Genomic DNA, 18,259 nt, shown 5'->3' on the forward strand with positions numbered 1-18,259 from the left:
TCATGCTTTTTCTTCTTCAGCCTGGTCTAGCAGTCTTTCTTCATCCACTTTATGATAACACAATGTCTTATGTGAGGACTTCTCGGGGCCACCTAAGTCTCCAAGAGGTGGCAGTGCTACCCTCACCTCTTCCTCCCTGCCTAGGGAGCAGCAGTCCTCCTGTTACCAGCAGTCAGGTCAAGCCCTTCACCAGGTCTACTGCTGCGGGACTCCTATTCCAGAATAGATGGCTGGCTTTTCAATGGTAAGGGAAGTGGCTCCCTCTGGAATTCTAGGTGTTTCATAGATATCTCTTCACCCTCAAAGTCCAGGAAGAAACTTGACAGTAGGAAGGTAGTAAGTGACAACGGTGTCACTCATTGGGATGGCTCAAGCAGAGGTGTTGTCTGTTAGTGTGAGACCCTTTGTCACGAAGAAGCCAGGCCAGGAAAAGGTGAGTGTACTGTGATAAGATAAGGCTAGGGTCATTATTTCTCAAGGAGTAAAGTCAAAGTCATCATAATAGGAAGAATAAGTATTCCTCATGGAAACTAGATTGGAAGGGACTTTAGCAGTCCCAGTGAACAGGTGTTCAAGCACCCACAAACCTCCTCCTTTTGCAGGGCGTGGACCTGCAAGCTCCCCTGAACAGAGTCAGTAGGAAGCCCAGTGGCACCCAGGCGAAGTGAGAGAATCAGCTACTCAAAATGGGACCAGGACCGTGGAGAGGTGGCATGTCCTTCAGAAGGGGCAGGGAGGGCTGACAGGGAGAGTTGCAGAGGGACACAGAGAGATAGAAAAAAAGGGTTATCCTTGTGTGGTTTAAGGGTCAAGTTCATTACATGAGGCCCAGCCACCGGCTGTGAGACTTGGCTTCACAATGACTCCACCCAGCATGGGTGCCCATAATGCAGTTTCATGTGTTTCTCCCTTAACCGCAGAGCATGGTTGAAGATGAAACCTGTGGGGTTTTCAAAAAGGCCAGCTCTGGTTTTCAACAAAGAGACTTTTAATAAAGCCGTAAACTGGGTGAATCATAGTCCTCATTGGCTTCTCTTTTCTTCTCCTATGTAATTTTAATCCTCTTGTTTGTTTCTGAGCCGATTTCATCATTTTTATCTACTTGTCTAAACTAACCCAAACTCCTTAAAAACTTCAAGTTAGTTTTTGTTAATATTTAATATTTTATTTCAGGTTTCTGCGTTGGATTCACACAGGTCGCAAAAAAATGCACCACTATCACCACCACACCTGGCTATTTGGGCCATTGGAAGCCTCTTTTTCTCAGGAAGGAAGGCCCGTGGCTCATATTCCATGGAGATCAGGGAGTGATTCTCCTGCCTTAGTAGCTTCTGCGTTGTAACATTGGAAGTTTTGAATAGAAACTTCATCTGTGGGAGGGTGGTTATAGAAAGGAAGTTTTAAAATGATTAAATGTTTCAACAATAGTATTTTGACTATAAGATCTGAAAAACTGAGTAAGTAACTAGAATTCACTGCTTAGGAGAGACGAAATAGAATTGAACTGTTACCAATAAAAGATTGGGTCGTCTTGTTTTTTTTGTTTTGTTTTTTTAGATGGAGTCTTGCTCTGTTGCCCAGGCAGTGGTGCGATCTCAGCTCACTGAAGCCTCTGCCTCCCAGGTTCAAGCGATTCTCCTGCTTTGCCCTCCCGAGTAGCTGGGATTACAGGTATCCACCACCACACCCGGCTAATTTTTGTATTTTTAGTAGAGACGGGGTTTCACCATCTTGGCCAGGCTGGTCTCAAACTCCTGACCTCAAGTGATCCACCCACCTCAGCCTCGCAAAGTGCTGGAATTACAGACGTGAACCACCACACCCAGCCTGGATCTGCTTGTCTATTTAAGTTATTAACGAATTTTTTTTACTGATTTACCTATAGCCATGTGGAGAGTACATGATATTTCAAAATATCTTCAATATAAGTGATATTTATTTAGCCCCAAATGTTGCATGCCTTAATTCTATATTTGAGCATATGCTTTAGATTTGGTTTGTGGTAAAATGGAGCATTCCCTCTAGTGTTATGTAGTATGATGGCAGTGAATGAAAGAGTGAAATTTTGTATCTTATTGCAGTAGAGTACTAAGGAAGATGACAGATTCTCCTTATTTGGAGAACAGGAAGTGGTCTAGGATTGAAATCCAAAAAAATCAAATTTGTTTGGTGTTACCAGTAGTGACCTGCCTTGATGTGGCTTCTTCAGATGCAACTAGAACCAAAAATTGTGACATCTGAAAGTAGTGGGAGAATTTGAGGAACATGAGTCAGAACCTGTTACCTAAAATTTCAGCCTCTGAAGTCACTATTCCCAGGATGAATGACTGGCTTTACAGAGTCCCTGCAATTATCATCACCTGGAGTAGATGGAGAAAAAGGTCGTTTGAGAAGACTAAGGCTTAAATGAAATAGCATTTTGAAGATTCTTTCTGAGCCATTCGGATTTCCTTACTTGATCTCTTAACTGCTTCAACTTATCCAGAGAGCAGTTCTATTCTTTCTACTCCTTGAATGAATAAGAGAAAAGTAATTTGTGGTTTACTAACATCTGCATCAGGGTTAAATGATATTTGTTAAAGATGTTTAAGTCCTGGACACCACGCTGACCAGTAGAATCGAAGTGTTGTAAACTGCATTTTTAAAAACCTCTCTAAGTGTTTTTTTGGCATCCTAAAATTTGGGAACTACTGGTCTGTAGTATGAGGGCCAGTAGCCACATACATAATGAATGCTTTTGTTGATACTGATGTTATTACCAGAGTTAATTTTAATGAAAACTGAAGCTGATTAAGACACTCTTACTGCCTACTTCTGCTTAAAGGATTCCTTTTTCTTTCTTTCTTTCTTTTTTATTTTTATTTTTTTTTTTGAGACAGGGTCTCTGTCACCCAGGCTGGAGCACACTGGTACAATCACAGCTCACTGTAGCCTTGACCTCCCAGGCTCAAGTGATCCTCCTGCCTCAGCCTCCTGAGTAGCTGGGACTACAGGTGCTCACCACCATGCCCAGCTAATTTTTATTTATTTTTGTAGAGACGGGGTCTTGCCACGTTGCCCAGGCTGGTCTCAAACTTCTGGGCTCAAGCGATCCTCTTGCCTTGGCCTTCCAAAGTGCTGGGATTACAGGAATGAGCCACAAAGAATTCTTTAAAAAAGAATATGACAACTCTGGGTAAAAGTAAAAAATATTATTTACTTTAACTCCCTCTGTTCTTGAGCCATAATATTCTTGAGCAGTGGTTCTCAAATTTAGCAGTGCATTAGAATCTCTCTCGGAGTTTGTTAGAATACAGATTACTGGGCCTCATCCCCAGTAGTTTCTGATTCTGGATGAGCCCTGAGAGTTTACAAGTTCTTTACAAGTTTCTTGTAAGTTCCCATATGTTTTAGTTGGCTAGGGCTGCCATAACAAAATACTGTACACTGGGTGGCTTAAACAACAGAACTTTATTATCTCATAGCTCTAGAGGCTCAAAGTCCTAGATCATGGTGCTAGCAGGGTTGGTTTCCAGGAGGCCCCTCTCCCTGGCTTGCAGATGGCTGTCTCTTCATACAGTAATCTGTCTGGGCACATATGCATCCCTGGTATCTCTTCTGGGTATTCAAATATCCTCTTCTTATGAGGACAAAAGTCACATTGGATTAGGGCCCATTCTACTGACCTCATATTAACTTAATCATCTCTTTAAAGGCCCTGTCTCCAAATATGGTCATATTCTGAAGTACTGGCAGTTAGGACTTCAACATATAAATTTTGAGGGGGACAAAATTCAGTCTGTAACACCATATAATGCTGAGGCTATAGATCTAGGGACCACACTTTGAGAACCACTCTTCCAGACTTGACTGGCCAAACAAGAAATAACTTCTGAAAATACATTTTTCAATCTTGGTAAGCAGTTCTTGGCCTTCTACTCTTTCTAACAACTTTCTCATGATGATCCTTTCGACGTCTCTCTTATAATTATTATCCTTGGCAGATAATTTTCCAGTCTGCAGTCTACGTCTCTGTCCTCAATGACTCTTAAATACGTGTCAGAATCCAACTGGGTGTCTTGCCAACAGCTCACACTTAGTGTATTCACACCAGAGCTTATTTTGGTTGGTTTGGTCTTGCTCTTCATTTTGTTTCCCTGTTTCTGTGACATGACCACTCACTGGACATTTAAATGGGATCATGGAGTCATATTTTGTATTTTCCTTTCCTCTGCACCAAATCGAGCAGCATCAACTTTGCAAGTCTCTGTCCCCATAGCCCTTTTCATTTTGTGTCCAGCTTTGTTTAGGTCTCATTCCTTCTTCTTCGAATGTTGCAACAGCCTTCTATCCGGAATCTGTCCTTTTAGTCTCTCCCTCCTTTAATGAAGACTATCTGCTGTTGCTGGAGTCATCTTCCTAAAGCATTATTCTAATCAAAATTTTCAACTGTGGCTGGTCCATAAGGTAGTGAGTTACCTCAATTGATTGTTCCCAGTCAGTGACAGATCGACTTCCTTGTTCTATTCTTTCCCCACTTCTCACTACTGCACTTAACTAGTGTTAAAAAAAAAAATCAAGTGTTTTTCCACTGCTTATTCAATAGGTAATATGCCCAGTTAAAAAAAACCTCAGGGTTCTGCTACAAAAAAAAAGAGTGAGTAAGAAACTATCAGTCTCCTCCAGCCTGCTCCACTGATTCCCCAAATATTCACTTCATCTTTCCTGTCACACAAGACCCTTCACCCTTCCCAATGCACACACCCCAAAGTGCAATGCAGTTAGAATCTCCAGCTCAAGGTTAAAGATCTTTGCATGTTGTGCATTTGGCTCTGTCAGATCCCAGTGTGCCCAGTGTGGATCATCATGGTCTGGCAAAAAATTATCTGCCCATCGCACCAATATTCAGTGGTGCAGTAGGAACATAGTGACTGCAATATAGTATCTGTATTAGCCTGTTCTCATGCTGCTGATAAAGACCTGCCCAAGGCTGGGTAATTTATAAGGAAAAAGAGCTTTAATGGTGTTGATAAAGACATGCCCAAGACTGGGTAATTTATAAGGAAAAAGAGCTTTAACGGATTCAGAGTTCCACGTGGTTGGGGAGGCCTCACATCATGGTAGAAGGTGGAAGGCAAAAGGCACGCCTTACATGGTGGCAGGCAAGAGACAGAATGAGAGCCAAGCAAAAGGGGTTTCTCCTTATAAAACCATCAGATCTCATGAGACTTATTCTTATTCACAACAGTATGAGGGAAACCGCCCCTATGAATCAATTATCTCCCACTGGGTCCCTCCCACAACATGTGGGAATTGTGGGAGCTACAATTCAAGATGAGATATGGGTAGGGACACAGCCAAACCATATCAGTATCCATGCAGAAAAGGAGAAAAATAGAAGATTTGAGGGCCATAGCAACTTTTAAATGATGCTGAGCCAGAACAGTGAAGACTCCAGCCTAGGCAGTGGAGTTATTATCATGGCTGTTGTCCTTGTTGGCCATTGGTTTTACCTTCTCAGACACTCTTTCTGGCCCCCTCTCCTCTGTGATCTTTCCAAGGTGAGCATTATAAAGTACACTGTTCTTGGGGTCTGCATTCACACCCACCTCTTTTTGGTGTAAGTTTGGAGACTTGGATTGTTTTAGGGATTGCAACATCATGATGCCAGGCTTGGGGTTTCATTGGCAACACAGTTCCCTAAAAATCTGAGGGGCTTCCAGTCTTCTTGCTGTTGTTCCATCCTGTATGTGAATAACCAGAACCAGAGGTCCTGTTTTCATATAATTTTTGAGCCTAGAGTCTCTAGTTTATTACATACGGGCCTTTGTGCTTTGCCAACTTCTCTTCCCCCAAATTAACTTGAGATGATTTGAAAAATAGGCATGGGGATCTTTGCAAATTTGCTGCTTCCTTGTTCTATAGAAAATTCCTGAAGGGAAGGCTTGAACAAGGTGTGGGGTCATGGTCTTATATCTTATAAGATATAAGATATATCAACCACAATATAGCACAACCACAAGGTGGCTTGTGCTCTTGCCTCTGGCTGTGGCTCATAATAGTTTCACTTTGAAGTAAGGATGTAGTCAGCTTTTTCAGCCTGAAAATGTTCCACATTAGACTTGTTAACCTAGCTGCTGGCTGTGGCATCTTAGCAAAATTGTATTTCCTTCCACTCTGCTGGCAGACTGACTAGCTCTAGCCTAGGTTTATCTCTTTTGTGTAGGATTTTGTTGAAAGTATCAGAACTTGCCAAAACACACCACCCTTCTAAAACTTTCATACTATTTTCACTAATGCCACAGGCTTGGTTGGCACCTTTGAATGTTCTGCTAGTCACTGTTTTTACTAGGATCACCAGTTCCCTAGTCTGCAAGAGTTTTATTTTCCCCCCCTCCAAGAGATGATGTATTGCTATGTTGCTCAGGCTAGAATGCAGTGATTATTCACAGATGCAATCATAGTTTTACCTTTTCTATGTCACTCAGACACCTCCTTTAAGTGAATCCTACATTTTAGCTAATGCAGTAGCTCTCTTTTGGTATCAAATTTTATATTAATTAGAATTAAGTTTGGGTGCACATGTCAGAAAGCAAAAAGTAACAGTGGTTTCAATGATGCTGGTTTATTTCTCTTCCTTTTAAAAGAAGTTTGGAGGGAGGCAGTCTAGAGCTTGTTAAAGACTCCCAGTATTGTTAGTGTTCCAGGATCTTCCAGCTTTCCTCTCCACCTGCCTAGAGTGAGGACATTGAACTTGTGATTTAAAATGGCTGCTGGAAGTCCAGCCATCACATCCACTTTCCATACATGAAGAAATAGAAAGTGGAATGAGAAGGGTATACCCTTTACCTTACACTGAGATTTTTGAGGAAATCTATACTTCATTATAACTGCGTGGCCAAGATTTAGTTAATCATATGGCCACTCCTAGCTTCAAGAGAGGCTTAAAATATAGTCTTTTAGCTAAGTAGATGTATCCATCTATCTATCAAGGTTTCGTTACCAAAGTGAAAGGGAAGGTATACAGCAGAGCAGGAAACTAACAGCCTGTCACAGGTAAATGTATAAGTAATAGGGAACATGGCAAAGAGGCCAAGCATGGTGGCTCATGCCTATAATCCCAGCGCTTTGGGAAGCCAAGTGGGCAGATCACTTGAGGTCACGAGTTTGAGACCAGCCTGGCCAACAGAATGAAACCCCATCTTTACTAAAAATACAAAAATTAGCTGGGCGTGGTGGCGCATGCCTGTAGTCCCAGCTACTCGGGAGGCTGAGGCAGGAGAATCGCTTGAACCCAGGTTGCTTGCTGCAACCTCCACCATTGTACTCCAGCCTGGGCAACAGAGTGGTACTCTGCCTCAATAAATAAAAATAAAATAAAATAAAATAAAGAAACAAAATAAAGAGTTTAATGTGCCTCAAGGGAGCTCCACGTAAGTGTGAGGAGGAATTCTGCAGAGGGTGAGGTAGCAGTCAGCTACAACAGCCGTGGAGGGCTTTCAAAAGAAGGTAACATTTGAATTCAGTTTTAAAGAATGAGTAGGAGAGAAGTAGGGCAGTTGAACTGGAGAACCAGGACAATTAAAGGCAAATATTTGAAAAAAATGCAAGGTCTATACCCATTTGACTAGACAGGGCTGGGAGTAGGGCGAAGTGAAGGAGATGCGCAGGGTACCTGAGATCCTCAGTTCCAGGGTCTTGCCAGCCTGGGATGAGCAGCTCCACAAAATGTATGCTCTAGGTGCCTCACTTACCTGTCCCTAGTCCTGGTTCTGCACTTGAATACATGATACATTAAGGGGACTGGTGGCAAGCCAGGCTGGGATGTCAGCCCTTTCTAATTTCAAGTAAAGAAACTGAAGTCGGCTCCCACACGTGTCCAGAAGAAAGCCTAACATCTTACGCCAGTTCCAGATGACAATTTGGCAATTCTCCCACCAAAGGAAGGATTTTGCTGTTAACTAGCATGATAATTTCTTATAGACCACACATCAAAGACAAATTGCCATGTTTTTTCTTGCCATGGTTATTCTGAGCTTCTGAGTAGTATTTTAGTCTTTCATGATTAGACCCACATCAGATCTTGATGTGAAGAAAGATTCAGGACATTTACTATGATGTTAATATAGCTGACACCTGCTGTAAAAGCCACACAAAATGAAGATGGTGGGAAGTCCCCCGCATTCTCCCAGTATGGGCCTGCAATGCACATGCTCTCACGAGTCAGCGGAAGACAAGTTGTTACAAAAGCTTTCACTCAAATAAGTAAGTTGGGAAATGCAGGAAGTGGGTTATACTGTATGGTTATAATATCATGAAAGCAGTAAATGTTATGCCACTTCTTTCCTAACCTCCCTAACTATGAAGTTGGAGTTCTAGACTTATCATTCCCATCACCATATGTCCTAGATCCTGATTCTCCTTCCAAAAATAGTGAAAGATTACTGGAAACTCCAGACATCAGTTGGTCTACCTGCAGCTCTGTGATAGTGGGGTAGGGAGTAGGTTATAGAAAACAGATTAAAAATAATAGATGCAATTTATTGAGGTATCTTCTAGTTGCTAAGCTCTTGCCATGCATCATTATCTCATAAAGTTCTTTGTTCTTACTTTTAATTATAGGTAGAAGAAATAGTGTATATAGAGATTTAAAGCATTTTTTTTTTGAGACAGGGTCTTGCTCTGTTGTCCAAGCTGGAGTTCAGTAGTGCAATCAGGGCTTCCTGCAGCCTTGAGTTCCTGGGCTCAAGTGATCCAACCATCTCAGCCTCCCAAAGTGCTGGGATTATAGGCATGGGCCACTATGCGCGGCCGTTTTTGATTTTATTTTAAAAAATTATTTTATAGATGGGATCTTGCTATATTGACAAGTCTGGTCTCAAACTTCTCCCACTTCAGCCTCCTGAGCTGCAGGAGCTACAGGCAGACACCACTATACCCGCTTATAGAGATATTAAGTTTCTTGTTCAGTGGCCATCTGGTTTATATTAAAGAACCTTCTCTAGTGGTAACCCACTTCCTCCTGAGGGGAACATCTTTGGGCAACTTTAATTATGGGAAAGTTATTTTTTGTGTATGATTCAAAAGTTGATTTTCTATACCTTCTGCTTACTGATTCTTTTTTTTTTTTTTTTTTTTTTTTGAGACAGGGTCTTACTCTGTTGCCCACACTGGAATGCAATGCCACAATCTCGGCTCACTGCAGCCTTGATCTGCTAGGCTCAAGCAATCCTCCCGCCTCAGCCTTTTGAGTAGCTGGGACTACAGGTCTGTGCCACCACTAATTTTTAATTTTTTGTAATGATGGGGTCCCTTTACATTGCCCAGGCTGGTCTCGAAATCTTGAGCTCAAGAAATCCTTGACCACTGGCCTCCCCAAATGCTGGGATTAAAGGTGTGAGCCACCACACCTAGCCTGGTTACTGGTTCTTAGTTCTATCCCTACTATTGAAGTCCTTAAAATATGCAAAAATAGTTATCACGTTTCCAGGTTTTCCTTGTCTCTTGATTGAAAATTCAGGTTCCTCACATGGCCTGATTCTAAACTTCTTCCTCACTGGGGTTGCCATTCTTTTGTTATGTTCTAGTTTGTCTGTAAGCTCTAAAAAGAACTGAGCACAGTAACCCACCTGTGGGTACTAACTGTAGTGTTTAGAAGGACTGTCACCTCCCTCACTCTAGATGTTATGTCTTTCTTCCTTTTCCTTTCTCTCTCCTTCCTTCCTTCCTTCATTCCTTCCTTCTTTCCCTCCCTCCCTCCCTCCCTCCTTCCCTCCCTCCTTCCCTCCCTCCCTCCCTCCCTCCCTCTCTCTCTCTTTCTCCCTTTCTCCCTTTCTTTCTTTCTTTCTTTGACAGAGTTGACAGAGTCTCACTCTGTCATCTAGGCAGAAGTGCAGTGGTGCAATCATAGCTCACTGTAGCCTTAAACTCCCTGGTTCAAGCATCCTCCTGCCTTAGCCTTCCCACCTGTAGGACTACAGGTGCACACCACCACATCTGGCAAATTAAATTTTTTTTTTTGTAGAGATGGAGTCTTGCTGTGTTGCCCAGCTTGGTCTCAAATTTCTGAGCCCAAGCGATCCTCCTGCTTCAGCCTCCCAAAGTGCTGGGATTACAGGTGTGAGCCACTGTGTCAGCCCAGATATTGTATTTCTATTAATGGAATGTAGAATTCTCAGTATTTTAGGGTGTCAGGGACTATATATAAAACTATATATTTTTTATATATTTTAGGGTGTCAGGGACTATATATAAAACTATATATTTTATACTTATATACTTCCATTAAACATACCATTGATGAAATCCCTAAATTTTTTTTCACATTTGCTTTTGCTATGCCTTGTTACCGCCGTACTACATTTCTTCAGGTGGGTGTTTTGGATGCAAACACAGACCTTAACATTTGTTTCAGTGAAATAACATTTTATTCAATTCAAAACGTTGCTCCAGGTGCTTAAGATTTTTTTTGAGATTGATTTTTGCCACCCACCATACTTACTATTACTTCTAGCTTCATTGCGTCAAGTAATATGAAAACCTGTCCTCTGTATCTTCTTCTTTTTTTGAGAGACAGTCTCGTTCTGTTGCCCAGGCTGGAGTGCAATGGTGCGATCTCAGCTCACTGCAACCTCTGACTCCTGGGTTCAAGCAATTCTCGTGCCTCAGCCTCCCGAGTAGCTGAGATTGCAGGCACCCGCCACCACACCTGGCTAATTTTTTGTATTTTTTTCAGTAGAGACAGGGTTTTGCCTCATTGCCCAGGCTGGTTTTGAACTCCTGAGCTCAGGCAATCCACCTGCCTTGGCCTCCCAAAGTGCTAGGATTACTAGCGTGAGCCACTGCGCCCGGCTATATATTTTCTATTTTATTTTATTTATTTATTTATTTTTAGATGTAGTTTCACTCTTGTTGCTGAGGCTGGAGTGCAGTGGCACAATCTCAGCTCACTGCAACCTCCACCTTCTAGGTTCAAGCGATTCTCTTGCCTCAGCCTCCCAAGTAGCTGGGATTACAGGTGCCCACCACCATGCCTGGCTAATTTTTTTATTCTTAGTAGAGACAGGGTTTTGCAATGTTGGCCAGGCTGGTCTTGAACTCCTAACTTCAGGTGATCCACCTGCCTTGGCCTCCCAAAGTGCCTGAGATTACGAGTGTGAGCTACCATGCCTGGCCAAAACCTGTCCTCTGTATCTTCTAACAGTGCAACTAACAAACTGTTGACATTGATCCATCAGAAGGAGACAACTCTCCAGCATCGGCTTAGACTATCTGTTCTTCTTTTGCCATTCAGATCCTTGTTCATCATGTTTTCCCTTCAGAAATTTTCCCATATTTGAATGTTTTCAAAGTCTACCTGTTTTTCAAGGTCTAATTCAAAGCCCATCTCCTCCATGAAGTCTGCTCTGATCCATTGTGATTTTCCCGTCTCGGAAATTCCTAGGCATATTTGGATTCTTCACTCCTAACCTCCCACATCCTTTCTGTGAATGTAAACTCCACCTTCACTTCCAGTCTCATGAAGACAAGAACAATATTATTTATTAGCCTCTAGCCTCTGGCTGTCACAGTACCAGGCTGAGGGTAGTGTTTAATTGTTACTTGTTTGGATTGATTAGGCCAGTAGTTCTCAACAGGAGATGGTTTTGCCCACCTCCTCCTCCCTTTCCAGGGAATGTTTGGCTATGTCTGGAGACATTTTTTTATTGTCCTACTGAAAGGGTGCTACTGGCATCTATCTAGTGGGTAGAAGCCAAGGATTCTGCTAAACATCCTAAAGTACACCGGATGATCCCCACCCTAAAAAATCATCCAGAATGTCAATAATGATGATGTTGGGTAACTCTGTATTAGACAATTCAGGCGTGTTTTGATTGGCTTTTTAAAAGACTACTCCATCTTTCCGTTAAGAACTACATTTTGGTGACAGATAACATGTCTGCCGACCCTTCCTGGAAGGAATGCTGCCTCCACATAGTCACCTCTGTGGTTCAAGCCAGGGCAGTCAGTTTGTCTTGGTTAGGTTACTGAAAGAAGATGATTATGGGTGAGTTAGCAGGTATGGGCATAATAAAAGTGATTCCACAAGCTACAACTAAAAATTAGTTTTATTAGTTTCTGGCTATGCTCTCTATAAATGTCTAGGTTTGGGCTTCATTTTATTTGTATGTTAGAATGAGATAGTAAGAACTTTCCTCTAGCTATTTTATGAGGATATTTTGAAGAAAAAGGACATAATTTAGGTGAAAAGTTTTGAATTCTCTGGGTAGGAAAATGACCATTAAAGCATTACAATGATAATTATTAGTGGATATCTGGGGTACATGGGAACAAAGTACTTTATATAAGGTGCTTTATACTGCAAAGAAAAGACGCAATTAAAGCAAACATGTTGTTCTGGTTCTAACTTATATTTCTGTGGCCAGGCTTGATCTCCTAAACTATATATATATGTCTTCCCACCACCACCTGAGGAGACCCTACCGGAAACCATCTTCCTGACCCATGGGCTGTGGCCAGGTCCAAGAGAGTGGATGAGAAACAATAAGAAAATGTTTGCTGATCTTAGGATGTATGAGTGCTTTTATTATTATTTAAAATGGAAACTTTATGGGATTCAGAAAGCCATCCCTTGATAAACTTGGCTCCTTTCCATGGTTTTATTTTTGTTTTTATTTTGTTGCATAGCTCTGAAGGAGTTTTCAACACATACAAGGAGTTAAAAGACTTCTAAGCAGCGACGGTGCGGCCGGTCACAAGCATGCGTCCCTTTGGCAGGCAATCGCTCGTCTCCACGACGCCGGCCCGCCTCACCTACTATTTGTCTGTGTCTCTGTGGCTGTTGTGTGGCTGGCATCTACCCCCATGCTGGCGTGCCAAAGGAGTGAATGAACAATGGGATACCCTGGCACTGGCGGGTGTTTTAATAACTGTGGAAAATGAGGAATTTACAGATGCATGATTCAAGCTCCCACTTCAAAGTTCCTCCACCAAAATCCTCCTGAAATGAGAAGCAATACTACTGAACATAATGCAACCTTTTGCATGGCTGCCCAACATGACTATAAATCTGTGTGTGCAGTGTTTGGGAAAGTTACATGGCTGGGAAACCGATGCCCTGCTTTCATCTGGAATTTATGTGCAGTGTTCAGTAGGTAGGTGCTGTCTGGGAAATATGAGGGATATAATAGGAAGCAATTTGCTTTTCACTGGCAGTCAAGACTCAAGGCAGGCCTGGGCTCATTGAACAGGGGTTTAACCAGCAACGCTGCATGGCTAGATCCTCTTGGGCCTGAACTGCCTTCACTCTGAATGGAGAACATTCTCTCCCCGCTGGTCTGAGACTGTACTGGCAAGGAGGAGAAATAAGTCCTTTGTGTCCCACTCTTTCTTCATATTCTCTGCCTTCTCGTCTGCTCCTCAGTAGATATCCCAAGTCTTATGATGCTTTCAGTGGATGCCATGTCTCCTGCAGAGGCTCCTCATTCAAGCCTGTCCTGCTCCAGATCGATTATTTTTCTTTTTGTTAATAATTACTGACATTCATGTAATGCATAGTGGGTTCTACACTGTGCAAGTACTCATTAAACCTTACCTCACCTTGAGAGGTAGATTTTTTGTTTAGAGATGGGGTCTTGCTATGTTGTCCAGGCTGAGCTCAAACTCTTGGGCTCGAACAATCCTGCCGCCTCTGTCTCCTATAGTTGTTGGGTCTATGGGTGTGTGGGCTACTCCACCTGGCTGAGAGGTAAATCTGTTTTATTCCTAATTTTTATTTTTTTTGAGACAGGCTCTCACTCTGTCACTCAGGCTGGAATGCAGTGGTGCAATCTTGGCTCATTGCAACCTCTGCCTCCTGGGTTCAAGCGATTCTCCCATCTCAACCTCCCGAGTAGCTGGAAATACAGGCGCATGCCACCATGCCCAGCTAATTTTTGTATTTTTTGTAGAGATGGGGTTTCACCATGTTGGCCAGGCTGGTCTCGAACTCCTGGCCTCAAGCGATCCACCCACCTCTGCCTCCCAAAGTGCTGGGATTACAGGCATGAGCCACCATGCCCAGCCTATTCCTAATTTTTACGTAAGAGAATAGTCTCAAAATGCATAAGTAACTTGCCCATGGTCACACAACTAGAATGAGAAGTAGAAATTTGAACCCAGGTCCGACGCCCAAACTCATTACACCATATGATATTCTTCCCACCTCTCACCTTAAAACTCAATGATGGTATTTCCCATTCTTTCAGATTAGCAGCAACGAAACTATTTACCTTGTACATATTTCACAAATAGCATTTACATTTTAGCTGGGTCTTCTTGGACATGGTGCCTCAATAGAAAGTCCTGATTGTTATTGTTAGATTTTCCCACACTGTGGCAAATGTTGACGAGAGGGTGGCACCTTCTGATTGCCTATGAAAAATGCCACCCAGATGGGGAGGCCTGTGGTTTGCTGGCCTGCTTCGTCCAGTCCGTGACAGAGTGGTGTAGCTATTACTACCAGACAGGATAAATCCTGGACAGTGCTCTCTGGGCACTGTTGACATTTGCCTCGATGATTCTTCTTTCTTCCCTTTAAGACGGACCAGTGTCTTATTCTATGTCTCCTTCTGATATGCTAAAAACCTTCAATCCAGGCCGAGGTCAAGTGCTTTCTAAAAACTTCCTTTGTAAGGTTCCTCTCTTAGGCAGATACTACATATGAAATAATAACTACCAGCAGTAGCCAAAAGACCCTGTGCTATATTATTTTTATCATCTCTTCCTCACTATAAAATATTTGAGAAATGTAATTTTACTTTTGAGGCATTTAAATGAGGAAACTGACATAATTTAAGTGATTTTTCTAAAGCCACACTGCTTAGCAAATCTGGACCTTAAACTGACGAAGCCATCAAGGCAATGTTAGGAGTCTAGTTATGGCTGATGTGGCATACAATTCATCACATTTTTACCAGCTCCGTAATTAGAAACTGGGTGGTTATGCGTGGTTTACTGTGGTAGAGATTGATGATGGTTCAGTTAAGGATCAAAGAAAAATCATTTCCCAGTTCTCTATCCATTCATATTGTTGTGGTTTTTTTTTTTTTTTTCAAATCTTCCTAATTTTCCTTTTTTTTTTTTTCTTCTTTCCCGGAGTGAGTGCAAGCCAAGAAACCTTTGGAGTGTGACTTTGGGGCCAGGCAGTGTTTCGGTGCCACATAATGATATAGTAGTGCATCATCAGTTGCTAGATCTGGGTCTCCTTGGGTGATGGAGTGTTCTTCCTGGAAGCCTAGGGCAGGGGAAGGAGCCCGGGGTCATGAACAAACCTGTTGGTGTTCTATCAAATTAGTACAAAACTTTTAAAAGTTCTTTTATTTTTTCCTTTCTTCCTATATATTGAAAATATTTTAAGGATATGTATTTCTTTTCAAGTTTTTGCTTTGATTACAACGTTTTTATTCTTCTTCAGTTCTAAGTATTTTAGAAATTTCCATATGGGTTTGCTGCATCTCATGAATTATTTGGGAGTATGTTCCTGAATTTCCAATTGCATAGACTTTTTTTTTTTTTTTTTTTTTTGAGACAGAGTCTCACTCTGTAGCCCAAGCTAGGGTGCAGTGGCGAAATCTCCCTGAAACCTCTGCCTCTGGGGCTCACGCCATTCTCCTGCCTCAGCCTCCCAAGTAGCTGGGACTACAGGCGCCCACCACCACACCCGGCTAATTTTTTGTATTTTAGTAGAGACGGGGTTTCACCATGTTGCCCAGGGTGGTCTGGAATTCCTGAGCTCAGGCAATCCGTCCGCCTTAGCCTCCCAAAGTGCTGGGATTACAGGCATGAGTCACCGCGCCCGGCCTAGATTTTTAACTTATTTATTTTTATGTTTAATGTCTAACTTGATTACAGTGTGATCTGAGAGCATGGCCCCTCTGTACTGATTCCCTGAAATATGTTAAAACTGGCTTTAGGACATAGTTTTTTGGTTCATTTTTGTAAAATTCTCATGTGTATTTCAGAAAAATATTTATTCTCTAATGGTTTGGTTCAGGGTTCTATGTTTGTCTATAATTTAAGCTCACTGATTTTGTCATTGAAATCTATTTCTTTTTCTTTCTTTTTTTTTTGAGACAGAGCCTTTCTTTTTTGCCCAGGCTGGAGTGGCACGATCATGGCTCACCGCAGGCCCAACCTCCCTGGCTCAGGGGATCTTTCCACCTCAGCCTCCTGAGTAGCTGGGACTACAGGCACATGCCACCATGCCTGGCTAATTTTTGTATTTTTTTATAGATGCAAGGTTTCACCATGTTGCTCTGGCTAGTCTCAAACTCTTCCTCAGCCTCCTAAACTGCTAGGATTACAGGCATGAGCCACCACACCCAGCCAAAATCTATTTCTTTTTAAATTTTTGTCTGCTTAATTTGTCAATAAAGGAGACAGGTATGTTGAAAGCTCTTACTATATGATGATGAATATGTCAAATTTTGCAGTTTATTAATTTTTGCTTTATAAATTTCCAAGTTATATTAGATGTGCACAAATACAGAATTATAACATACTGGTAAATTTAATGTTTAAAAAAGTATTATGTAGTAGAGACTCTCTATCTTCAATAATGCTTTCTGCTTTAAAGTCTATTTTGTCAAGTTAATTTTATGCCCCTAGTTTTTTTTTTTTTTTTACTTTTCTTTTGGTTAGTATTTGTCTACATAGTTTTTACTTTTGACCATTCTTATGGATATTTTATAAATGTGTCTCTTGTGAAGAATGCATATCTTTAAAAGAAACAAATAAACAATCAGACAATCTTTGTCTTTCAATTGGACATTTCAGATTTTTTACATTTAGTGTGATTTGGGAGTGTATTTTGAATTGTTTCTTACAATTTGTCTTGTTTTTCAAATTCTATTCTGTTCTTTTAGGAATAATATTGGAAATTTTTCTTTCGTTTCAGAAGACATGATCTTTATATTTTGATAAGGTATAATATACTACTGTGTTCATGAAGCCAAGGCACAGTCGTGAATTTAACAACAACAACAACAAGTATGTAGGTTTCAAACACTGCCAAAATATAAATCATTTGTCTGATGGCTGAAAGAAATCCTAAACTCTTTCCTTTATATGGTTTTTGTCTTGCGATATGCTTGTTAAGTCATGAAAACACTATAACTATTTCTCACAAATGGATTTAACAACAGGTTTCCTCTCTTTTCTTATTTGTTTCTCATTTGCACCTTTCCCACCGTGTCTGGATGTGTTTCTGGCTTCCAGTTTTCTACAGATTCTAGATGGAGCGCCCTCTCTTTGTTCCCTGACTTCTCCCTTACAGGTCTTCTCTCAGGTAGCAACAGAGGTGTATACAGCCACTCACAGCCCGCAGGCTCTAGCAACTAAAACAAAGAAACAATTATGCTTTTACATTAGAGATGTTTAATAAACAAAGAAAAATAAAGCTCAGAGACTTGGATGGAGGTGTAGGGTGAGAGGGTGAGATTTTTAAAGTTCACAGAACCTTTCCTAAACAATCAGAGAGACCAATATCACTACTGGCTTTTGTTTTGTTTTGTTTTGTTTTTTTGTTTGTTTGTTTTTGTATTGCCCCACCTCCCTGTGCTGTTGGATTCCCCATATATTTACTTGGTTTTCACATCCCATCAGGTATCCCTGGTCTAAAGAATTCTATGCTGCGACTTACTCAAGAGCTGTCTGGTGATGTTACAACATAACTCAAATTTTCCATTGCTCAATGAGAAACATTTTTTAGAAGTCACTGTGAGAATTGAAATGGAAGTTGTGGGTACACAGGAGCCCTAGGAAGAGACTTCTTTTTAGATACTCTCCATATATCTGATAGTATTCAGAAGTTAAAAAAGATCAATATAAACTTAAAAATACTATCAAATACCTCTTTTACCATTAATGATCCCACAGTAAGGTATTGCCCTCTATTGATAAACTCTAGTTCCAATTCTTCACATGATCTGTTCAGACTTTTTACTTCTGGTTGGCTCATCTCAGCTGTTGGCCAGTGTGTGCTCAAGAAATGCAAACTAACATTTTATATACATCTTAACAGATTCTAGTCAGGCACAGTGGCTCACACCTGTAATCCCAGCACTTTGGGAGGCCAAGGTAGTGGGATCACCTGAGGTCAGGAGTTCAAGACCAGCCTGACCAACATGGTGAAACGCTGTCTCTACTAAAAATACAAAAATTAGCCTAATGTGGTGGCACACACCTATAATCCCAGCTACTTGGGAGGCTGAGACAGGAGACTCACATGAACCCAGGAAGT

The 18,259-nt window shown here is 41.5% G+C and overlaps 1 pseudogene, besides 1 other annotated feature; it reads left to right on the plus strand.

Annotated features, from left to right (window-relative positions):
- Positions 1,064 to 2,263: an enhancer, noted in NCBI's record as "BRD4-independent group 4 enhancer chr13:73797915-73799114 (GRCh37/hg19 assembly coordinates)". NCBI's record gives its function as "activates an origin of replication core promoter dependent on BRD2, P300/CBP, MED14 and CDK7 cofactors, and independent of BRD4, by STARR-seq in HCT116 cells {active_cell/tissue: HCT116}" and the evidence as "EXISTENCE:reporter gene assay evidence [ECO:0000049][PMID:35650434]".
- Positions 4,433 to 4,546, plus strand: RNY1P8 (RNY1 pseudogene 8; annotated as a pseudogene).

The sequence above is a fragment of the Homo sapiens genome, chromosome 13 (assembly GCF_000001405.40).
Source record: "Homo sapiens chromosome 13, GRCh38.p14 Primary Assembly".
NCBI classification, from domain to species: Eukaryota; Metazoa; Chordata; class Mammalia; order Primates; family Hominidae; genus Homo; species Homo sapiens.